The 26,429-nt window shown below is 37.9% G+C and overlaps 1 protein-coding gene across 1 annotated transcript in view; it reads left to right on the top strand.

The window, feature by feature from the left end:
• The window catches only part of HAO1 (hydroxyacid oxidase 1), a 57,474-nt gene that overhangs the window by 17,676 nt on the left and 13,369 nt on the right, over positions 1–26,429 (top strand). Inside the window, exons 3-4 of the mRNA NM_017545.3 lie at positions 8,364–8,619; positions 16,454–16,629. Coding sequence (NP_060015.1) covers positions 8,364–8,619; positions 16,454–16,629 — 432 coding nt within the window. The remainder of the gene's footprint in view (positions 1–8,363; positions 8,620–16,453; positions 16,630–26,429) is intronic.

Genomic DNA, 26,429 nt, shown 5'->3' with positions numbered 1-26,429 from the left:
TTTACAATTTTTCTTCCAAGTATTACTGATTGATGTTTGGACTATGCAAGTGCTGCCAGCCCCTTAGACTCACTCTGCAGCTCCCCCCATGGAAATTTGTGAACAGGTTAGGGTGGGGATAGGGAAAAGCATGTTCTTGTTTCACTTCTTGGATTATTTGTTCCAGGCTCTCCAAAGTAATGTGTACCTTGGGAATGCAGAAATTATCTCCTTAGATATTCTCTCCCTATATATGTCCTCACAGGGAATTCTTGGAATTGGAGAAGATTCCACTCTCCTTTAGGAGCTTTCTCCATAAAGGTATTGAGCATTGGACACTATATTTGCAAGGGAAAAGAGGAATGGGTCTCTTGAGCATCAAAATCATTGTAGAAGAATCTCCAAACTGTTTTTCAAAATGTCTGTACTAACTTACATTCCTGACATCAATGGGTTCCCTTTTCTCCACAAGGGTTCCCTTTTCTTTGCATCTTCACCAACACTTGTTATCATTGGTGTTTTTGATAATAACCATTCTAACAGTTGGAGGTGATACTTCATTATGATTTTAATTTAAATTTCCCTGATAATTAGTGATACTGAGCTTCTTTCATATATCTATTGGCCATTTATATCTCTTCTTTTGAGAAATGTCTGTTCAGATCCTTTGCCAATTTTTTTTCTTTTTTCAACTTTTATTTTAGAATCAGGGAGCCATGTGCAGGTTTGTTACAAAGGTATATTGCATGATGCTGAGGTTTGGAGTGCAAATGAATCCATCACCTAGGTAGTGACCACAATTCCAAACAGGTAGTTTTTTTCAGCCCTTTTCCCCCTCCCAACCCCACTGTTGTATTCCCCAGCATCTATTGTTACCATTTTTTTGACCATGTGTATCCAATATTCAGCTTCCATTTATAAGTGACAACATGTGGTATTTGGTTTTTGGTTACTACATTAATTCACTTAGGTTATTGATTTCCAGCTGCATCCATGTTGGTGCAAAGGACATTATTTTGTTATTTTTTATGGCTACATAGTATTCCATGGTGGATATGTACCACATTTTAAAAATTCAATCCACCATTGGTGGGCACCTGGATTGATTCCATGTCTTTGCTATTGTGAATAGTGCTGTGATGAACATGCAGGTGCACGTGTCTCTTTGGTAGAATGACTTATTGTCCTTTGGGAATATACCCAGTTAGTGGGATTGCTGGATCGAATGGTAGAAAAACTCTCAGGTCTTTGAGAAATCTCCAAACTGCTCTCTATAGTGGCTTATTTAATTTACATTCCCTACAGCAGTGTATCAGCCTTCTCTTTTCTCCACAGACTCACCAACATAGTATTTTTTGACTTTTTAACAAAAGTAATTCTGACTGGTATGAGATGGTATATCATTGTGGTTTTGATTTGCATTTCTTTGATGATTAGAGATGATGAGCATCATTTTCATATATTTATCAGCCTCTTTTATGCCTTTGTTTGAGAAGTATCTGCAAATGTCCTTTGCCCACTTTTTAATGGGGTTATCTGTTTTGTCATGTTGATTTGTTTAAGTTTCTTAAAGATTCTGGATATTAGACCTTTGTTGGATGCATAGTATGCAAATATTTTCTCCAATTTTGTAGGTTGCCTGTTTACTCCTTTGATTGTTTCTCTTGCTGTCCTTTGCCTATTTTTTAATTGGGTTATTTGTTTTCTGGCTATTGAGTTGTTTGAGTTCCTTATTTTTTTTTTTGGATATTAGCACTCATTAGATATACACTTTACAAATATTTTCTCCCAATACCTGTGTTGTCTCTTGATTCTGTTAATTGTTTTCTTTGCTGTGCAGAAACATTTTAGTTTCACACAATTCCTTAAAAAACTAAAAATAGAATTGCCATATGATCCAGAAATTCTACTTCTGGATATTTATTGAGAGGAATTGAAATCAGCATGTTGAAGAGATATCTGCACTTCTATGTTCGTTATAGCATTATTCATAATAGTCATGATATGCCATCAACCTAAGTATCCATTGACAGATGAATGGATAAAGAATGAGGTGTATGTACACAAAGGAATACTATTCAGCCTTTAAAAAGTGGGAAATTCTGTAACAACATGGATAGACAGATACTATATGATCTTACTTATATGTGGAATCTAAAAAGGTAGGTCTCACAGAAACAGATCATAAAAAGGTGGCTACCAGAGGCTGGGAGAGGAAGGAAAAGAATGAGGAAAGTGACATATTGATCAAAGTTGTACAAAGTTTCAGTGCGACTGGAGTAATAGGTTTTAGTGATCTATTGTACTGCATGGTGTCCACAGTTAATAGTAATGTATTGTATATCTTAAAATTACTAAACGATTAGGTATTTAATGTTCTCCCTACAAAAAAATGGTAAGTTGGTGTATTAGTCCACTTTCACACTGCTATAAGGAACTGCCCGAGACTAAGTAATTTATAAAGAAAAGAGGTTTACTGGCTCACAGTTCTGTATGGCTGGGGAGGCCTCAGGAAGCTTACAATCATGGTGAAAGGGAAAGCAGGTATGTCTTACATGGTGGCAGGTAAGAGATCCTGTGTGTGAAGTGAAGGGGGAAGAGTCCCTTATAAAACCATCAGATCTCGTGTGAGCTCACTCACTAGCATGAAAACAGCATGGAGGAAATCACCCCTATGATCCAATCACCTCTTTCCCTCAACACATGGGGATTACAGTTCCCTGCCTTGATGCGTGGGATTAAAATTTGAGATAAGATTTGGGTGGGGACACAAAGCCAAACCTTATCAGTTGGTGAGGTGATGAATATGGTCATTAGCTTGTCTAAATTTGTCTGCAATGTATACATAGATCAAAACATCACTTTGTACCCCATAAACATGTGCAATTACTATTTTCCAATTAAAAATAAATATAAATAAATTAAAAATAATTGCAAAGGAAAGCTGGCTGTGGAGAAGATTAACAAATAATGACATTAAGAAATTCAGGTCCTTGGCAAAATTAGAAATACATACAAAGCTATCCAGAACTTATTTTTCCAAATGCATTAGGCGTCCTCTCACCTTACCCTTTACAATTGCATGGCTTCAGAGATTACACAGAAAACGTTCAGAAACATTGCCCCAGTAGATGATCTTGCAATGCTATGAAGTAGGCAGAACAGCTGTGGCTATAGCAATTGTGCAGATAGAACGTACTTCATGGATGGCAAGACTGGGACTCTAGGACAGGCTTTCAATCCATTCTACCCTGTTGTTGTTCTGAAATGAAAGTTTTATCTCCCAGTTTATATAGGTAGCCTTATCTTTGATGCTTCAATACCTGAGACCTGGCCAGTGTCCCTTTTAGTGATTGTATGTGTGTGTGTGTGTGTCATATGCAATTTCCTTATAGCAATGGCACAGTGTATCACTGTTTAATTAAAGAAGAGAAAGAAATGCCAAACATACGAATAAAGTCTGAATATATCTGTAACATTAAAAGTGTAGGTGTCTATCTTTGAAGATATGTCTTAAGGACAATGAAAGAGTCAGTGAGTAAGAGAAGAGAGTCCTGGGATTTCATACAAGATCAGTGTTACTTGATGGTGTAGGCTCCTAGGTATTTCATCTTTAGGATATACCGTCTATTACAAAAGCCAAGATTTTTAGATTTGGATCAACATTAGGGAACTTCATTCTAGGCAAGAGCCAGGTTTTGCCTTTATGTTAATATGACCTCAGCTGTGAGCTCCATTTTGCCAGGCATCTTAAAACTGCAACACATATCATTGGAATCTTCCGTTACAGTCTAATACATAGCCACACATTGGGAGCAAGAATGAAATCCAACCCCTGTCCTTTGCAAAATGCAATGAGACAGTGTCTGCTTTGGGAGCAGGGAGTCAGAATTTCATTGTGGACAATGGATAAGGTGAGTAAAAGGGCTTAAAACATTTGTGCTTTCAAGCCATAGGCTAGGATAACGATAGTCAGAACTTTTTGATGAAGTCTGACCATGCTACGCCATTTATAAAATTTTGAAGCTTGTAAGTATTACCCCAAAATGAGCAGTGTGAACTCAAAGGGTTTATCATTGTCTCTCAGGCAAAGGTAATATTTGAATTATTTAGCAAAGGACTTTGAGCAATTGGAAGAGATACTCAGCTGCTGGTCTCTAGCGCTCTAACAGGGTGGATGCCCCCCGCTCTGCCGGCACTGATGTTTAAGTTGCTGGATTATGAGGAAGTCTGGGGATTCCTTGGGGAGAAAAGGAAGTGATGACATATTGAAGCACAACGACATATTGAAGAGACTCGGGGGCTGGGGTGATAAACTTCAGAGCCGTGGCTATTTACCAATTGGAGTGTAAGTATTTTAATATTTTAACAAACATAATTGCCATTCTGGTATGTACCAACTTCATCTCAGATCTGTCCTTAAGAAATAGGCAAATTCTTTATTGCCTCTCTGAATGGTTCATATAAATTCCCAGGCTCCCTTAGCTCATTCTAACATAAAACTGTATTAAAAATAATGAATGTAATTCATCAATAATTTTCCTTTGTCATAGCAAATAGTCACAAGTGGATTGAGATCAGAGTGATCACTCATATTTGTTCTGGGGAGAAGGGAGCCTGCTGTTTTGCTCCTGTTTTCTCCTAGGACTAGTATTTTAGCTTCAAATGATAATACCTTAGCACAGACTCTGATATTCCTCCTACATGCAGGAGCATTCTCTTGGAATAATTTTGGGGATGCCAATTCAAAATTTCAGCCATGTATGATTTACTTATTGGAAAATAATCACTGAGCAGCAATAACTCCAGCAGTTACTTGTATCAAGGTAGAATCAAGAAATAGATGGTATGGACCAAACTTGCTTCTCTCTAAATATGCATACCCAAGTGATTTGGGTAAAATGTTTGTGAAGGGCTTACATTTCCTGCAAGTCAGATGGTTTAAGAGAAGTAGAAATTATGTGTGTTTTGCAGCATTTTGGTAATCTGTGTGGAGTGTCTGTAGATATTTCTCATGAGTTCAAGGGAATCCTTTTGTGGATTTTGATGTTCCTATTGGCAGAGCTGCTGCTTGACTACATGATGTCTTTGTATTAACTACAAAAACATGCCCTATCATCTGAGTGATTTTCTCTGCCAGACCCCTTTGTGCATCCACACTCTGCACCTCCAGTGTACGGAGGACCTTCCCACTGGATTCTAAGATTCCATGCCTTCCCAATGCATGGCAGTGTCTCTCATGCACATGGCAAACCTACTCTCTTGGATGTCACTGCCCTGAAATATTGAGGGAGTACATTTATCTAGGCATGGTACCAGGGAGTCATTTAGACATGTAGGGAGTCTAGAAAGATCATTGCCCTGGGAGAGTGCTCAGCCATGCTGAGTTCTCCTACTTTGTTGCTCATTTCTGTGTGACCTTAGGTAACATCCTCTTCAGGACTTTTTTTTTTTTTTTTTTTTTGACAGGGAGTCTCATTCTGTCATCCAGGCTGGAGTACAGTGGTGTGATCTCAGCTCACTGCAATCTCCGCCTCCTGGGTTCAAGCAATCCTAGTGCTTCAGTCGCCTGAGTAGCTGGGATTACAGGCATGCGCCACTACGCCCAGCTAATATTTGTATTTTCAGTAGAGATAGGGTTTTATCATGTTGATCAGGCTGGTCTTGAACTCCTGACCTCAAGGGATCTGCCTACCTTGGCCTCCCAAAGTGCTGGGATTACAGATGAGAGCCACCAACCCTGGCCAGGACATAATTTATTTCAGGTGAATTGATTGTTGGAGGATTTTGATCCAAGCAATCAATGTCCCTTGGTGTTCCTTTCAAACAGCAGTAAGTGACCTGAATTTATTTTCCACATTTCCAAATCTTAATGAAAATCAGACAATGGTCTATATGTTCATTTGTGTTCTTACTTAATAAAATGTGGGTTTTAGACAATATTTTGCCAGTCATGAATTCCTATAGAAGGAACTCTTTGGGAGAACAGACTAGTGATCTATAGACATGATGACCTCCAACTCAGATCTTCTGTAGCTAACCACTGACCGGGAGAACATGTATGAAAAACATCTTCAAAGGCATTGAAAAATTAACATTTATCAAAAACAAAATACATTTTATTTCATTTGAACTTAGACCTTTACTATCTAATGGCTATGGTACTATTTAAATGTCAAAGTGTGATCTAGCATCAGCCTAATCTGGTTAGAAATGCAAACTCTTGGGCCACATCTCAGACTTACTGGACCAGAAGCTCTGTGGGTGGGACCCAGAAATCTGTGTTTCATTCACATGCCCTCCAGGGGATTGTCCTGCTAAAGTTTGAGAATCATGGAAGCTTTTTAACCTCTCATTATAGCTTTATAAGCAGCAACTCACTGGATTCCTATCAACATCCTGTGAGTGTCATTTGGACAAGTATATTTATACCCATTTGATGCATGGTAGGCACACAGATGAGTCAAATGACTTGAAGGAATAGAGTTTTACATAATATACTTTTATATATTTATACTTCTAATATATTTATACTTTATAACAGATTTGACTGTTTTATATATTGCATATAAACATTATATCAGTTTCTCCTCCACTAAGGCTGACTCCAATTTTACTCCAATTTTACTACCAATTTTTGGAAGAAAGCCTACCTATCACTCATGTTCTCTCAAGTACCCTCTAAAACTATTAGTTAGATGACTCTATTTAATTTTCCATTTATTTGCCCGTTTCTTGCTACCTTTCCCCCCAAAATGTAACTGCTACCTTGCTCAAAAGGATGTGTCTACTTGGGATATCTAGCACACACATTTTATGAGATTTTAAAAGACAACATAAATGGTAAACTATATATTTAATACAATTTTGAAAGACAAAATTTTAAAATTAAAAAGGAAGAAAAAAATTAAACTAACCCCATAATTCTCCCACCCATCATTAGCATGTAGTTTGTTTAGATTCATCTACCAATAAGTAGAATTGTACAAATTTGATATCATGTAATACATGTCATTTTGTAAACTTTTTTCTTTCCTTAATATATCTATATATCATAAACATTTTTCTATGTCTATATTATTTTAAAATTGTAATACCCAGAGTTCTCCAGAGAAACAGAATTAATAGGATCTCCCCCTTGGAGATTTCTCATCTTTTTCTCTCTCGATAGATACAGATAGATACATACATAAGTCTATCTCTCTATCTCTATCTTTATCTCTAAAACACCTATCCATAGATAGACATTTTTAGGAATTGGCTCATGTGTTTGTGGAAGCTTGCAAGTTCAAATGTGCAGAGTAGGTGGGCAAGCTACCAGGGAAATGTTGATGTTGCAGTTCCAGTCTGAAGGCAGGCTCCTTGCAGAATTCTTCTTTTTCTTAGCAGTCTTACTTCCCCTTCCTCTTCCCCTTCTCCTTCCCCTTTCCCTTCTTCTTCTCCTTCCCCTTCTTCTTATTCTCCTTCACAGACTTATTTTTAAGGCCTTGAGCTGATTAGATAAGACCCACTCACATTATGAGGGATAATCTGCTTTACCTGTAGTCTACTAATTAAAATGTTAATCTCATCTAAAAAACACCTTCATAGCAGCATTCAGACATGTTTCACCAAATATCTGGGCACCATGGTTTAGCATATTGATGCAGAAAATTGATTATCATAATAATATTATTTTTTTTTGAGATGTAGTTTCACTCTTGTCACCCAGGCTAGAGCGCAATGCTGCAATCTCAGCTCACTTCAACCTCTTCCTCCTAGGTTCAAGCGATTCTCCTGCCTCAGCCTCCTGAGTAGCTGGGACTACAGGCGCCCATGACCACGCCCGGTTAATTTTGTGTTTTTTTAGTAGAGATGGGGTTTCACCACGTTGGTCAGGCTGGTCTCGAACTCCTGACCTCAGGTGATCCACCCGCCTCAGCCTCCCAAAGTGCTGGGATTACAGGCGTGAGCCACTGTGCCCAGCAATAATATTAATTTTAATGGGTGTGTTCATTTCATTTTATATATGACCTACAATTTAACCAATCCCCTAAGGCTGGATGTTCAGGTTCTTAATATTTTTTGCCCGTATTTACAGACACCTTTGACTATTGGATTTATTTTGTTCTTCAGGAACAATATACAAAGTGTGGAAAGAAATGTATATTTCTAATCATTGGAAAATAAACACTGAGCAGAAATAACTCCAGTAGCCATTTGTATCAGAGGAGGTAGAATCAGGAAATAGATGGTATGGGCCAGACTTTCTTCTCTCTTTAAGAGATTTGACTTCATATTGCCAAATTGCCCTTCTAGATGTCTTTACTCATCCAACTACAATTCAAAGGTTTGGGAGGGTAAGCAATGCCAGGCCCATCTTGATCATCCCCTTTCTTTCTCAGCCTGTCAGTCCCTGGGAACGGGCATGATGTTGAGTTCCTGGGCCACCTCCTCAATTGAAGAAGTGGCGGAAGCTGGTCCTGAGGCACTTCGTTGGCTGCAACTGTATATCTACAAGGACCGAGAAGTCACCAAGAAGCTAGTGCGGCAGGCAGAGAAGATGGGCTACAAGGCCATATTTGTGACAGTGGACACACCTTACCTGGGCAACCGTCTGGATGATGTGCGTAACAGATTCAAACTGCCGCCACAACTCAGGTAACCATGATCATGTGGGCCCCGAGCTGAGGCGAAAGGGATCTTGACTGGGAATGTTAGGGTCTGGGTTCTACTGATAGCAACGTTGCTAAACATCTAGTTAATCTTCAGCTAATCACATCCCTTTTGTAGACATCACTTTTTTTGAGATACACAATAGAAACAGAAATGGCCTCTATAAAAGTCCAATAAATTTTCAGACCAGAGTGCATTAAGGGCTTTGGCTTTGGGAAGTATGAATTGCTATACAGATGGAAGATACTGAATTTTGCCCAAGCAGCAGTTTATTATTATCATCCTGGTGCCCTATTTCTTTGTTAAAGTCAAAGAGCCACCTTTACCTTTTATTTTTAATGGTACATGGGACAGCTAAGGCTAAGAAGATTGAAGAAAGAAAATAATGAAGGTTTAAAAAAGCCACATCTTTGATCCCTCACTGTCTACTTCTTCTTTCAGCAATATTCCTTTCACTGTGGTTCATCCATGGGTCAAGATTCATTGATTCATTCACTCAAATCATTCATCTTAGCAAAAACAATATATCACATAATCTGATGTTGAACTATAAAGGTTTCATCAGGTCATTCATTCACCCTGTCCACAAGCTGTGAATTATTATCTCTTTCCTGGTTGTATTTTGGGATTACAATCATCTTGAGTCAAAGCTGGAAACTGAGTGGAAGTCTCTGGGAAAGACTCAAACCTCCTTAAGCTATACACCTCTTTTCCCCATCAGATTTTCCTTCCTTCAGTTTCCACCAAAATGTGCTCTTGGATTTTTCATATGAATGTATAATGTACCTCAGGCCTATAAGTATTTTAAAAGGGATCAAAATCTTAGTTTTAATGGAGGACATTTTTATGATGGACTCCTACAGCATCCATCAGAATATGTAAGATGATGAGGAATGTCTTCCTGTGTTCCCAGATCTCATGCCACAGAGGCCCTTGCTTACTCTATGTTTGAATTGTATTTGGAAAAAAAAAAAAAAACAAAAAACTAGGGCTAGCAAAATTGAAAAAAGATAAAAGACGAAAGAAGCCACATGTAAACATACTGTGTTTACTCTTCTAAAATATTAAAAAATGAAAAGATCCAAAATCAAATTAATATTCCCCTGGAATTTCATATCTATTTCAGTGACTGTGGAGTGAATCTCACCACGAAAGTTGCTGCAGTCTTGTATAAGTTTCACATAGTTTTACTGTGTTTGTGCCTATGTGAGAATAAACTACTGTGCATAAAATCTTGCTGTTGAGCCATGTGTGAATTAGCTGTGTGATGTTACCTCCCTGTTACTACCAGGCTGGTTTAGGATATCATTTCTGTATGTGGCACCAGGATTAGACCAATGACAGAAAAAGAAAGTGCTCTCCCTGCCAAACTGGCCAATAAAACTGTTCCACATATCCCAGACTCAGGGTTACCTAAACAACCTGTGTTTAAAGAGAACAAAAACAAAAGCCTCTGACATAGTCTTACTCCTTGCCAAATTCGTCAGAAAGCTGATGGATTCAAATTCCCCCAATATGAATCCCGTATTTACATTATTTCTCTATTTTGACTACTTTTTTTTTTTTTTAAAGACTTTCTAAATAGTTTCCCACTATCGAGGCTTCTTAGAGGAAACATTTCTCATTATTTCCCCTTGGCTATTTGAAAAGGAATTTGTTCTTCCTTTTCCTCCATCTCTTAACACTACTACTACTAACAATAGTAACAACAATAGTAAGTACAGTAGGGTTTTTTGTTTTGTTTTTAACTTAAGACATACTTTCTTGTTCTGGATACCAAAATATGTTTCACAGAGGCATCTACTTAGATGGGGTGCAGATGACACAGTTGTTAATTCTGGCAGGTACCTCTTGCTTCTTCACTGCTGGGGCTACTCAGTGAGTGGCAGGAAGGTTGATTTGCTTTCCCCCCTTTTCTTTTGCTCCTGGGCTCCTTCCCAGATGATGTGACGGGCCATGAAACAAAGACTCTTTTCAGCTGTCGGTGTGCATAGAACTGGCTGCGGCTTCCTAGCTTGTCACATCTCCGGTCTGAAGATGATCAAATAATGAGCAACACATCCAGGTTATAGGGAACACGGGAAACACCCCGCAGCTGGGTGTACCCCAGCCCCTCAGAGTGCACATTGGTGTTGTTTGTCCTAGTGGACTTCGGAGTAGGCCAGTGCCTTCTGGTCAGTTCCTCAGTGGCCCACATTCAGCTCTTAAAGGCAGAGCATGCTAACGGGAGGTCCAGGCTTCCGCCTGAGGCCAAATACACCCCAAAAGCTCATCTGTTATAGCCTGATATGAAATCGGTTTCTTTCTGCAACTGACCTGACTCATAGAAAGTGAAGCCTGGCTTTTCATAAGTGAAGTTTGGCAGGCAAGGGAGGCAGGAAATCCAGAGGAGAATGAGCCTGTAAAGCATGGCTCCTTCCAGCCCTTGTTACTTCCTCTGCCCAAGTGTGGGGGAGGGTCCTGTCTCTTGGCATCTGGGCCCAGCAAGAGTTCAGAGGTTTGGTAGTCTCTGCTTGGTCCATATGCAAAACACATGTATGTGTATACATTATTAATGGCAAGGGGGTTCCTGAAACTGAGAGGGAGTAAGGAGACTTCTCATCTGCTCTTGGAAGAAGCAAGGAATGAAGCCAGTTCAGTAGACTGATTCCTGAGGCTTTGGGGCAGGAACTTTTTCTTTCTCCATATCCCCATGGAGATGGTTCATTTACCCTGAATTAAGATTTGGCCCTTCGGTGCAGTGCCAAGGCAGTTTAAAGAGAAGAAAAGTAATTTCTGATCATTGACTAAGATCAAGGTAAATCATGACACTTATCCTTTCTATGATTTGCCAGTGACATGTTTTCTTAAGCCCAGAAATGATTTATTGATCGCAGCAGCCAGAATATATCACACTAAAACAGATCAGCCTGCCACTGTCTTCTCAGGTCTCTCATGATTAAAGTGGCCTGCTTTAAAGTAGACTCAATGTGAATAGGTCTCCATGACCTCTGCCTCACTGCGTAGCACTCACATCCTCACCCACTCTTGCACTCTGGCTTCCCTGCGGTTCTTTCAATATGCCAGGCATGCTGGAACCCCGGAGCCTTTGCACTGGCTGTTCCCTCTGTCTGTAACAGTCATTCGCAGAATCAACGCATGACTAATAGCCTCACTTCCATTGAGTCTTGACATTAGGAATGGATATACATGTCTATATTGGGAAACCACAATAAAAATTGATGGTAGAGATGCAAATATGAGCAAGATAACAGGGTGGGGGCAGGGGAGAGAGGTCAGTGGAGGACTTGGCACAGTAGCCTCTTAAATGGCACAATAGCCTCTTAAATTTTTGGTTAAGAAATCATTCACATTGATAAGTATGGCAGGATAAAGGTGTCCATGAGTGAATCCCGGGAACCTGTTACTTTATGTGGCAAAAGGGACTTTGCAGATGTGATTAACTTAAGGGGCTTGAGATGGGAAGATTTTTCCTGTTTTTATCAGTAGGCTTGATATAATTAAAAGGGTCCTTATAAGAGGGAAGCAAGAGTGTCAGAGTCAGAGAAAGAGATGAAATGACAGATGTAGAGGTTGGAATGATGTGGTCAGGAACCAGGGAAAGCAGGGGGTATCTAGAAGCTGGAAAAGACAAGGGAATAGGGCTTCCCCTAGATTCTCCAGAAATACAGCCCTATTGATATCTTGAGTTTAGTCCAGTGAGACTTATTTTAGACTTCTGACATTTGGAACTGTAATATAATACCTTCATGTTATTTTTATTGCTGTTGTAACAAATAACCACAAACACAGTTCTACTAATTTCTTTCTCAAGGTAGCTTCTCAATTTTGCCAACGCTGGTTACCATACATACTTAAAGTTTCATTTTGAGTCTCTGAAAACTCACATCTCTCTTAATCTGCTCTACTTTTTTCTTGGCTTTGTATAGTGCTTATGTTCTGCTACACTTTGTAATTTATTGATTATGCTTACCATGGGCAGGGATTCTTAACTGTTTTATTTATTTATATATCTTAAACATTGAAAACACTGGCATGTAGTAGATGCTTAATAAGTAATTGTTGACTCAATCGATAAAATATACTAGAACATACAAGATTTTCCCAATGTAACATAACTAGTAAGAGGCTGAACCGGGATTTGAACTCAAAATTCATTCCCTGAACCTTCTTCTAGCAGCCACATTGAGGAAGAAATTACCAGGGCTGTGTTCTCAACACAAGTGTTTTCCGAACCACAGAATTAAAGGCTGGTGGCCCATGTATCAGTGTCTGTATTTATGAGCCCCTCTTTCAATCTCTTTCTTTTCATATTGTGTTGATGCTGTAGCTTCTACTGGTCATGTTATTTTTTTGTTTCCCAAGACGGAATTATGTGGCTTTATCTTTAATGTTGCATTATCAATACTTATAATAAATAATATTATGTATTACTCAATATTCATGATTAATAGTGTTACTATTGGTTATTTAATAATGTTTAACTTACATTAGCAGTTGTTACTATTTTTATGATGCTAAATTACTAACAGCTAAAACAACTTCTATATTAAAAAGTATATTTGAGTGCCACTCAAGAGATAATGAGTACCTTACAAAGAAGAAATCTTGTTTCTCACCTTTGCGTCATTAAACAGATCAGGATTTGGAGAATTAAGCCCTAAGTAATAGTGTTATTATTTTGATCTCACCCCTTTTTTTCTTATGAAATGGAATACTTTGGTTATCAGAAGCCACTTTAAGCATATATATATATATATATATATATACATATATATATATATATATGTCATAATCCGAATAAAAATAGCATTCATGGAGGTTTCTTTTGGAGCCTTTGGTAAAACACTCCATCGTGGGTCTCTGTCAAGATATCTGAAAACTTTTTCTTGGCTTCTGGCTTTGAACAAAGTTTCAGAGTAACAACAAGGCTTCATTGTGCACTGAAATTTCTGTAAGGCAACATTCATTCAAGTGTTGATTCGCATTTCACCATCCAAGAATAACAACAGTTATTTATATAATTTTATCCACGTTTCTGTTTTTTCCTATCCATTTCACCCTTTCACCCCACCCCTGCTGAAACACTGGAGCTTGTTTGGGATGGGGGTGGGGTGCCATGCAGACTACATACACATACAGATGTTTTTCTTTTTCTTTTCCCGGTCTTGCTATGGGATAGACAGACTGGACTTTTTCTTATTAACAATATTATTTAAAAGCTTGGAATTTATTATCATTTAATCATTTGTATGTAATGAAATAGGTCTCCATGGTAAAGATGTGTTTATTGACCAGCGGTTAGCTTTATTCAAATTAGGGTGACCATAGAAGACCAAGGACTATGATATAATGTACAATCCTAAGTGGTTTGATTTAAATAAAAAGAAAGACCAGGCATTTCAGCTAAAATCCCCACCAAAGCCCAATGACTAGATGGGCATCCATATGACTCAATGAAATTTTCTATGATCTTAAATGGCCATCTGAGTCCGTGAAACTATAGGACTAACTATTCAATCCTTATTGAGAAAGCCTTGTTAATAGCTTGAATTGAGTTATATGGGATAGGAATGTTCATATCTTTATGACAATATATGCCACCTAAGCTACATAACCAGCTGTGTTAGCTAAAATACTCTAAAGTGTAAAAAATCATAGTTTTCTATTAAAGGAAGTCATGATTGTTAAAAATAATTTTTAAATAGTGTGCCTAGATTCTTCTAGTATAATATATAATTTTTTTTTTTTTTTTATTTTGAGACAGAGTCTTGCTCTGTCACCCAGGCTGGAGTGCAGTGGCTGGAGTTGCTCACTGCAACCTCGCCTCCCGGGTTCAAGCGATTCTCGTGCCTCAGCCTCCCAAGTAGCTGAGATTACACGTGCCCACCACTATGTCCGGCTAATTTTTTTGAATTTTTAGTAGAGACTGGGTTTCATCATGCTGGCCAGACTGGTCTTGAACTCCTGACCTCAGGTGATCTGCCCACCTCGGCCTCCCAAAGTGCTGGGATTACAGGCATGAGCCATTGCGCCCAGCCGATATATAAATTTTTATATGGCTCCATGATCTTCTCTACATTTAATGACAGAACTGGTGGAGGGGAAGAAAGAGATGGGACTAAGCCAGAGATCAATATACATACAACTATACTTTGACCAAAAAAAGGGAGATTGACTGGCAGGGGAATTAATAGTATGCAGAAGAGCAAGGTGAGTCCAGTCACTGTCATTATTCAAAAACAGCCTTTCAGGAGAAGTTTGCAACTGAATTTGGGACTGTGGGCAGATAAGTCACAGGAATGATTCTATTGTGTATCCTGAAGTCATCCATCCAGCTAGGAGTCAGAGGTGCAGGCTGAAAAGACATTGCCCCTAGAGTGGGGAACTGCCAAAATCTAGCCAGGATATTAGGCCAAGAGAAAAGACCTCAGGCACAGGGGAAGCCAGCTTCAGAATCTTAGAGGTGAGTTAGAGAAATACTGGGCTAAGCTGGGTCAACAAAAATAGTCATACGGGAAGGAAGCAACTCAGTGGTACTTTGTCTCAGGTTGGGTTCTCCTAGAAGCAGGCTGTGAGCCTATGATTTCAGTGCAAGTAGTTAATAGGGAAGGTGAAGGGAATACTGCTAGAGGAGTAGGAAAGTGAGGCAAAGGAGGGAAGGCATTGAACAAAGGGCATAATACCAAGACAGCTACAGTCGGGGCAACTGAAGCTTAACCCTGCTGGAAAATTCTGGGAACTTAGGCAGAATTTATCTCAGAGTTAGTCTACCTAGCGGTGAGGGAGCTGGGGTATTTACACTTCAACATCCCTAATGCCTCCAGTCTGCTGTGTGGATTGTGACTCAGGCCCAGGAGCAAGAAAAAACCACTGGCAGAGAAATGAAGGTATTGATAATTGAAAAGCTCTTGTCGTTGTCAAACTTGTCTGGAAGATTAGAGAAGTTTGAGTCAGCAGACCGAGAAGTTCAGAGAGAACAACTAAAAGGGGGAGGGAAAGGCAAGAGGTGACAACTCATCTGCTGGGAAACAGTTCCCACTTCTCCCATGCCCACCACCACCATCACTACTGCAATAGCAGGCAAGAAGGAGTCTACAGGGGCAACAGACAGTCATGTTAACACCTGTTACTGCGGTTCCAACCTCTTCTAGAATTTTCTACAAGGGCATTGGAAGGTTTCCTGAGGTCAGGTGCAATAACCAGGAGGAAACTGAGATCTGAGCAAAGAGAATAGTGTTAGGAATGAAGTCAAGGGACCCAGTTTGGAGCTCAAATACTGCTATTAGCTAGTTCTATATTTGAGGCAATTCATTTTGTACCTCTGTTTTTATTTTCTATGGGAATCATAGAGTATCAATGTTACTTTCTAAGAGTCTTTTAAAGAAAAATTGTGATAATTTTGGCATACAAAACCCTTTGTAAATTATAATGCACCATAAAAATGCTTTTTAAATTGTGATTAATTTGCATTGCTGGCTGAAAATCGTGTCAACTCTATTGTCTATATCCATAAACTGGCTTAAAAATGAGATGTTTGAATATGAACACATTTTTTTTTCTTGAAACAGATTTGTTTGTGTAAACACAGCCTAAGATGTAAAATAAAATTTAGGTCACTGATTAAGACCACTAGAGTATCACATTTAGTCTAGAGTCCTACATCAAAATATGGAAAATATGTGTGCAATTGACTTATAGATAAATGAGCAGTGAACAGCCAATTGATTTGAAAAGGGTAACATTTTTCATTGAATGAATCATTGGAAACGTATTTCTAATTTGGCAAATTTCTCATTTTATGCATTTCTTATTTTAGGATGAAAAATTTTGAAACCAGTACTTTATCATTTTCTCCTGAGGAAAATTTTGGAGACGACAGTGGACTTGCTGCATATGTGGCTAAAGCAATAGACCCATCTATCAGCTGGGAAGATATCAAATGGCTGAGAAGACTGACATCATTGCCAATTGTTGCAAAGGGCATTTTGAGAGGTTCGTTTATTTCTCTACTTGAATTCATACTGACTTTGTGATCCTTTGTGGATACGTTCATAATATTCTTAAAGGAAAATAACAAGGAAAAATTAACATGGAAATTGAGAGAGACATTCCAACTCTCAATTCTCTGTTTTCATGTTAGTGAGTAAATATTTCTTCATTCTTAGGTAATATTCTGAAGCAGAGCTAAACTCTCATGAAGCACAAAGTGAGCTTTTTCAAAGAATTGGGATGCTATTGCCTTATTTCAGAGCTGTTACTGAATCATGAAGCCTGGCAAGATCTTGGTAGAACGTCATGAGTTCATTGCTTTACCTGAAAGCTGCAACAGTTGCTCTCAGACCAAAGAGAAGCCCCAAGGAGATATTATGACAGACAGACTTGTTTTAAGAGCTTTTACTCTTTTTCTTGTGCTCCCTCCAGTACAAATGGCTAGGACTAGTTTTTGAGTGTGGTCAAACCCACATCACCTCTCTGAAGAGAATGGCTGACTAGTATGGTCAAATGCTCAATTATCAAGCCATGGGTAATAAGAAACTTAACTATTTCCTCCAGCATCCCCATGTATTCAGATCCCACAGGGAGATACCAATGACTATAATAATTTTGGAGTGTAAATGTGTTTACCCACAAAGGCAAGAAAACCTTTGTGGTATATAACCTTTGGTTATATAGATAACTGCCAAAAACTTTTTTTTAACTGAAATGTTTGAGTAAGTGACTTTAAGATGAGAGTCTGTCCATTAATGTATGTCTATTAAATGACTTTGAATCAAAACTTTTTCATAGATTTTACTTGAACATGTCTGAGTCATGTGGTCCCTATTTATAAAGGTCTACCTACTTTGACTATTTAATTTTATGTGTGAAGAAATGAGCTTATAAAAGTAAAAGAAATTAAGCCCAGTGCAGCATTTAAGTAGTGGAGATATGTTTAAATCCAGATGTTCTTATTCTGTGCTTAAACAAATTAAATTAGTTTTTTAAATCGATATATAATAGTTGTACATATGCATAGAGCATATAGTGATGTTTCAATACCTACAATGTGTAGTAATCATATGAGGGTAATTAGCATATCCGTCATCTCAAACATTATTCTGTACTTCTACAAAAATTGTTCACTGTTTCCTACTAATCATTGTCCTAGTTCAAAATTTTTGTGGATTATACTTCAATGAATATGTATTGGTTTGGTTTACAGACACCTTTAAATAATGGTTTCACTTCCTTTACTTGCATCCATGTTGTTATCCATGATTACTAGTGCTACTTACTGTGGCTGCATTCAACTGTGGGGACTAAATAATATTAACCTGAAGGTTCTGTGCCATTCATTTATTTATTCATTCATCCATTCTCTTATTCACTCACTCATTCATTCCATAAATATCATAACTACTGTGTGCTAAAATATTTTTATGAAATAAAATAATTTTAGATCCTTGGATAAAATGACAGTCTATTCTTGTAGGAGACAGTTATATAAACAAGCATTTTGGGTGCAATAAAATGTTGCATAGAAATCTATGGGCATGGCTTAAAAAAGAATATGGGCAATAATGTAAGAGTGGGTTAGAAAACACTTTTCAGAATGAAAGATGATGCTTGAGTTTTGCCATGATATCAAGCCAATAGACTCTACTTCAGACTGAAGTACTGGCAGAATAAAGCAATTATGCATAACAATTTATAAAACACATAAGCCATTTAGAGAATTTAGACTTTAAAGTGGCTGAGAACCACTGAAGTGTCTTGATCAGAGAAGCAACCTCATCATATAAGCATTTTACAGAAATCATGCTTTGCACAACGGACCTAATGGATGGAGGTGGCAAAATTGTGGTCAGGGAAGACATTTAGGAAATGTTGTTGCCCAGAAAAGAGATAATTGTAGAGATGACCTAGAGTAATGGCAGGGAGGGGACTGAGAAGGTATAATTAAATTAGAAAATTAAGACAGTTAATCACAGAGACGGCCCAGGGGATCTGGCTTTAAAACACTAAGGAAGAATAGAATTTTAGTCTTGTTCCATAATTGTTTCAAATAAGGAACAAAGAAGGAGGTCATTTTATTTTTTAACCACCTTTTCAATCTAGGATTTCCAGTGTATATCATTTTCTACAACTTTATTCCTTAAGATATGTGCAAATCAATTGAATTAGATTTACTATCACATGTTATGTTGAAAAATATTTTGGTTTCTAGATCTTCATTCTGTTATCACTTTAGCTAGGACCACTGCCACCACCACCACCACCACCACCACCACCACCACCACCACCACCGCTACCACAATCTCCATTACCAGGACAACCACCAGCACTGCTGCCACCCACCACCACTGCTATCACCATCACCACTCCCATCACCATTATCACCACTCCCATTACCACCATGACCACCACCACCACCACAACTACCACCATAGCCACAACCTCCATCAACACCACCATTACCAGGAACAACCACCACCACTGCCACCACCACCACTGCTATCATCACCACCACCATCACCACTCCCATCACCACTATGACCACCACCACCACCAGCGCCATAACCACAACCACCATCAACACCACCATTACCAAGACAACCACCACCACCTCCACCACCACCACCAGTATCACCACTACCACCTCCACCACTCCTATCACCACCATGACCACCATGACCACCACTACCACCATCATCACCACCTCTCTTTTCTTCTCATCCATATGGATTTCTGGTTTGTTTCTAAATATTTTTGTGACATTTTACACATAGTAGATAGCCCAAATATTTATTTACTGAACTTCTTGATGAAAACTATAAGTCTATCTAATTAGAGAAAGCTCAAAAAAAAAAAAAAAGATAAGGAGAGATGGGACATTTGACATTTAAAGGGAAATAACTTATTTATACATGTACAGTTTACATCGTCTACTTTTCTGTAACTATTTGGTTCTTTTATTTAACAAACAAGAATCATCTCTATGACAACAATTGCACCAAGTAACACATATGCTCAATCTGGATCGGAAGGGAGCAGTGGCAGGGCCAGTTCTGGGAAATCCAATTTTCTCCATTTCACAGGTCCTCATGCAGAAATCACATGGATTGACTGAGAGTCACCCATCCTCTTTCATTTTCCTTTTTCAGAAAAGTGCAGATTATATTTTCAGGAACATGAAATCATGAGCAACTGTGAAGATCTAGACCAAACATCTGACTGTCTCACCATTTTAATAATTGTATTTTAATGAATGCAAATTAGAATGGAAGATGTAATCTCTTACTGTGTGTGGTTAAACTGCCCTTAGAGAACTTCAACGCAAGCTCCTAACATGTACTTAAGACAGAATTTGGTCTTTGTCAGAACTCACACTAGCAAACAAATGGCTTTTTTCAGCAAAGGCATGGTGCCTTTTAGAGTTCTTTTCTTTTTCTTTTAATTTATTTAAATTAGGCTGTCTCACTTCTACTGTGGCTTTGTGTTTCTGAGAAACTTTTCTCTAGTCAGCTCTTCATATACAGGCATACCTAAGAGACATTGTGGATTCAGTTCTGGACCACCACAATAAAGCAAGTCACATAATTTTTTTGTCTTCCCAGTGCATATGAAAGTTATGTTTTTGCTATACTGTAGTCTATTTTGTGCAACAGCATTATGCCTAAAAAACAATGTATATACCTTAATTAAAAAATACGTTACTCCTAAAAAATGCTAATGATCACCTGAGTCTTCAGCGAGTTGTAGTCTTTTTGCTGGTGGAGGGTCTTTCCTAGGTGTTGATGGTTGCTGACTGATCAGGGTAGTGGTTGCTGAAGGTTTAAGGTGGCTGTGGTAACTTCTTAAAATAAGACAATGAAGTTTGATGCATCGATTAACTTTTCCTTTCAGGAAAGATTTCTCTGTACCATGAGAAGCTATTTGATAGCATTTTACCCACAGTACAACTTTTTCAACATTGGAGTCAGTCCTCTCAAACTGCCACTGCTTTATCTGTGAAGTTTGTGTAATATTCTAAATCCTTTGTTGTTATTTCAGCAATGTTCACAGCATCTTCACCAGGAGTTGATTCCATCCCAAGAAACCACTTTCTTTGCTCATCATAAGAAGAAACTCTTCATTCATTTAAGTTTTATCTCATGATTGCAGCAATTTAGTCACAGCTTCAGGCTCCACATCTAATTCGGTTATCTTACTGTTTCTGCCACAGCAGCAGTGACTTTCTCCACCATAGTCTTCAACTCCTCAAAGTCATCCATGAGGGTTGGAATCAACATCTTCCAAATTCCTGTTAATGCTGATATTTTGACCTCCTCCTGTAAATCACAAATGTTCTTAATGGCATCTAGATGGTGAATCCTTTCCAGAAAGTTTTCAATTTATTTTGCTCTTATTCATCAGAGAAATCATTAACTATAGCAGCTATAATGTTATTAAATATATTTCTTAACTAATAAGACTTGAAAGTCAAAATTACTCCTTGATCCATGGGCTATGGAGTGGAGGTTGTGTTAACAGGCATAAAAACATTAATCTTTTTGTGTTCTTCCACCAGAGCTCTTGAGTCACTAGGTGCACTGTCAATGAGCAGTGATATTTTGAAAGAAATCTTTTTTTTTCTGAGCAGCAGGTCTCGACAGTGGGCTTAACATATTTAGTAAACCGTGTTGTAAACAGATGTGCTGCCATTCGGACTGTTGTTTTATTTATAGAGCACAGGCAGAGTAGATTTGGTATAATTCCTAGGGTTATATTTGCAGCCATGAATAGACTTCTCCTCTCTAGCTATGAAAGTCCTAGATGGCATCTTCTTCCAGTATGAGGAAGGCTTGTTTGGAAGAAGATGCCATACAGCCTGTTTAATCTACATTGAAAATATGTTGTTCAGTGTAGCCACCTCCATCAATTTTCTTAGCTAGATCTCCTGGATAACTTGCTGCAGCTTTTCCATCAGCCCTCAGCTGCTTCATCTTGCACTTTTATGTTATAGAGATGGCTCCTTCCTTTAAACCTCAGGAATCAACCTCTGCTAACTTCAAACTTTTTTTCTGCAGCTTCCTCACCTCTCTCAGCCTTTATAGAATTGAAGAGAGTTAGGGTGTTGCTCTAGATTAGGCTTTGGTTTAAGGGAGAATGGTGGCTGGTTTGATCATCTATCCAGACCACTCAAACTTTCTCCCTATCAGCAATAAGGCTGCTTTGCTCTCTTATCATTTCTGTGTTCACTAGAGTAGTAGCTTTAATTTCCTTTAAGAACTTTTTGTTTGCATTCACAACTTAGCTGTTTGGCACAAGGAGCCTAGCTTTTGTCCTGTCTTGGCCTTTCACATGCCTTCCTCACTAAGCTTAATAATTTCTGGTTTTTAATTTAAAGTGAGAGGTATGTGACTCTTCCTTGAGCGCTTAGAAGCCATTGTAGAGTTATTAGTTGGTCTGATTTCAATATTGTTGCTTCTCAGGGAATAGGGAGGCCTGAGGAGAGGGAGAGAGATGGGCGAATGGCCAGTGAGTGGAGCAGTCAGAATACACACACTTATTAAGTTCCTCATTTTAAAGGCGATGGTTCATGGCACCCCAAAACAATTACAATAGTAACATCAAAGATCACTAATCACAGATCACCGTAACAGATGTAACAATGAAAAAGTTTGAAATAGAGTGAGAATGACCAAACTGTGACACAGGGATACCAATTGAGCACGTGCTGTTAGAAAAATAGTGCTGATACACTTGCTTGATGCGGGGTTGCCACAATGCCACTTGAGCATTGTACATACCTTAATTAAAAATACCTTGCTGCTAAAAAATGCTAATGATTATCTGAGTCTTCAGCGAGTTGTAGTCTTCTTGCTGGTGGAGGGTCTTTCCTAGATGTTGATGGCTGCTAACAGATCAAGGTGGTGATTTCCAATTTCTAAAAAACTCAGTAGCTGCAAATTGCTATAAAGCAAAGTGCAATAAAACAAGGTATGCCTGTATACATTGTTCAAGATACTCTAAAAAAATATGCGCTTAATGTTCCTGGATTGTGTTTTAAAATTGCTGTCATGTGTCCGGGATTTAGTTACTACTCTCCTCTGAGTCAGAACAGATTCCTAGGCCAAAAGCTCCAAGGGCTTGAGCTCAAATCTTGAGTACTTACGTTTTGAGTACTTGAGTACTTATTTTTCACTTTTATACCTTGTTTTAAATTAAATATGGAAATAAAATATTAATAAGATAGCAAACAATGCCACTGCCCATTGACGACTGTGTCTATCAATCAATGTACTTAATGGCAAATTCACAAATATGGAATGCCACACTCTTAAACTCTAAGAATTAATAAAAATATCCAAGATTCATGAACATTTTGCTAAGTGGGAATATTTTGGCCCTTTCATTAAGGCAAAATTGCTTTTCTCTCTGTGTTAAAATAAATTGTAAAACTGTGGACGAGGCTGCATAAGCAGCTAATAAAAGGGGCTTATATCTGGTTATAAATTATCCTTATTGTCTTTGCTTCTCTAGAAATTCACAATCCTATCCTCTGAGCAAATCATTATGTCATTTCTCCCTATATTCCCAATACTACCTGAAGAATATAAAAACCACTTGAAATGATGGCAGATAACAGACTGTTACTTAAGAAACATTTAATTCAAATGGGAGGCACTTTATCATAGTAATCTTGACTAGGATAAAACTGTTATAAACAGAACCCAAATAGAGTTGCCAAACGCATCCTGCAAATAAATCTTTCTCCACCTACTCATCTTTTTAGTTTATATTCCCTGCACCATCAGAGGAAAATGGTAATAATAGTTAATATTTATCTGAGTGTTCAACATGTATCAGGCACTTTCTAAACACACATTCAACTCATTTAATCCACAAGCTAATCATATGTGGATCTCTATCCTCATTTTATGGCTTAGGACAATGATGCACCGAGAAGTTAAGAAACTTGCCACTTACACAGCAAGCGAGCAGCAGATGTGGGATTTAAGTCCGGGTGGACTGATGACTTACCTTAAGCAGTGAATCACTTCTTCCTCCTGTACAGGATCTGTTTATTGATAATATTTAATTTCTCATAATGCAGGTTGTAGCTACATGGTGGCAGACACAGGAATATAAACTGGAGAGCTATACGTATGCTCAATTACGAGGTTTGAAAAAATACCATTGTCTATGTTTAAGTGGTTTTTTGTTTTTTTTTTTTTACATTTGACTTGAAGTTCAGGATCCTGTACATAACTAGATAACCAGGCAAACCACACCAATTCAGAATATTATTTTATACTGTTTAATAAGGTTATTTATGACTACACCTAGGTTTTTAAAATAAATACCATGCTATGTCTATTAGGACAGGTAAGCTCATGGAAACATTGAAGGTGAGCTGTGCAATATGACAGCTATATAAGTTAATTAAAATGAAATAGAGGCAAAATTCCAGTTTCTTAGTCACACTGCCACATATCAGTTGGTCAGTGGCTACATGACTAGTGGTACTGTATGATGGAAGTGCACAGATCTAGAACATTTTTATTATCACAGAAAGTTCTATGGTAGTCCATTGAGGCCCTATCTTTAGAGAACCATTTATGAAATACGTTTGAGATGAAAGTGTACTGGGCTTCTGGTTTAAAATGATGGACTGAGTACATATGAATTCTCTTGTTAAAGTCAAGACTCCACTGAAATTAAAGTACAGAAATGCAAATATGTATACACCAATGACAGCAAAGCAAAGGAGGATAGAGGACAGAAACAGCAGAGAAATTTTAAGAAACTTTTGAAAGCCTGTTGACAGCAGGAAAACATACAGAAAACTGTACCTTGAGATAGGCTTTCAGGAAATCCTAGAGGAGGTAGGGGTAGATTATGTAATAGAATGCTTGAGAGGCTGTAGGTATATAGTCTGCAAGGATGGCAGAGAGGGTAGTGAAGACGAAACGCAAGGGGACTGACTGAAGATCAATATAGGAAGCTGTTATGCCTGCCAGCAATCCTGCTCCCACCCTACTTCTTATGCAACAGTGGACACTTGGCACTGACTTCTCAATAAGAAAGTAGCTGATCCTTTCTAAAGACATTAATGAATGGCTGGGATGAAATATGGGTGGGTGGCATTTCCAATATGACATGATGCTGTCCTGATTCTGACACTTGAGGAGCTCACAGTCTAATTGCCTCTTAGTTGACATTTCCTGCATTTTCTTACATGGAGTTCCAAGAAAGAATTTCCACTCCAGACAAGGACTTGGCAAGAATGAAACTAATTTACAAAACAGGGCAGTTCCTCAATCTTTCTTCCTTAAATATAAATGGAAAATTTAGCATCACTAGGCATATCAGAAACACCAAAACATAACAAATCAAGATGAATCTATAGAAAAGCTTATCCCAGGAAAAAGAGATAAAACAAGAAAAAGAATTTTAAAAAATCCAAATGATACTCAAAAAAGTTGAAAATATACATATAAATAGGAAGAGTCTGCCATGAAAAGAAAATTAGAGCATAAAGAAGAGTTCCCAATGATTAGAAAAATGACTTCTGATTTTTTTAAAAAAGGGGAAGTCGAATATAAAAAAGAGCTCTCAAAGATTAAAAACATGATTGCTGAAATGACTGAATGGCTGAGCAGTAAAGTCAATAACATTTCCCAAAGGGTAAAACAACAATGAGAACAATAAGATAAATAGAAAGAAAAAATTATTACATGAATGTACATGAAGACAACTTTAAAATGTCCAATATCCAACTGATAGGAGTTTCAGGTAGAAAAGTAAAAGAAAGAGGCCTGGAGGAAATTATTAAAGACCAACAATTTCCGAATGCTGATAATGTAAGTCATTAGAGTGAGAAAACAAATCACAACTTATCACGTTCCTTATGAAATTTCAGAAAAGTAATGTGTATAAAGAGATAAAATAAACATAAAACTGTTTACTTATAAAATAATTCAAATCAAACTGGTGTCAGTCCTTGCATCAGCAATGGGTACTAGAAGACAATGGACTGATGTCTTTAAGGTTCTGAGGAAAATGGTTTTTCCACTTAGATTATTATACCCAATCCAATTGTCATTCACACACAAGAGAAGCTATTTAGGTGGTCTGTAAGTTTACCTCCCTTGGATCCTTTTTAAGAAAGTAACAAAGGAATCTACTACAAACAAATGAGAATATAAACCAAATGAGGGCATACTCAGACTACAAGATATTCAACTCAGACAGAAGAAGAGCAAACTCAAAGCTGAAGGCAGACATTATGTCTTGTGAGTAGCCACAACAGAATGGAACAGGAAGGCAGAGGGCTCCAGGGGTTATCTTCAGGTGGGGAATAAGGTGACCTAATAGGTTAGATCAAATAATTGAAAAGTTTGAAGAACTGGATAATATTCTGAAGTTTCACAGTAAATGGAAAAAAGAAAAGAAAAGAAAGGCAGTTAGAAATCTAATCTAATCCTAATCACCTCCCAAAGACCCCATCTCCAAATGCCATCACATTGGGGATCAGAGCTTCAAAATACAAATTTTGAGAGGATATAAATATTTAGTCTATAGCATATAGGTTTAACAGTTTCCTATACCTATAATTTTAGGAGAAAAATATCACTATCATCATTTGAAAAAAATAAGAATAGTTGAAAAATAGCCTTGTATAAAACAAAGTTTGGAAAATGATAGCATATAATTTATAAAATAATTATCTTGTCTTTTAAAATTATTCTTAGTCAAGTCTGCCCATTATCTCCATTGCTTAATTTTACAGATTACCAATGACCTATACCCATTTGCTTAAATTT

Source organism: Homo sapiens, chromosome 20 (genome assembly GCF_000001405.40).
Source record: "Homo sapiens chromosome 20, GRCh38.p14 Primary Assembly".
In the NCBI taxonomy this organism is placed as follows: domain Eukaryota; kingdom Metazoa; phylum Chordata; class Mammalia; order Primates; family Hominidae; genus Homo; species Homo sapiens.
This window is presented reverse-complemented; position numbering and strand designations above follow the sequence as displayed.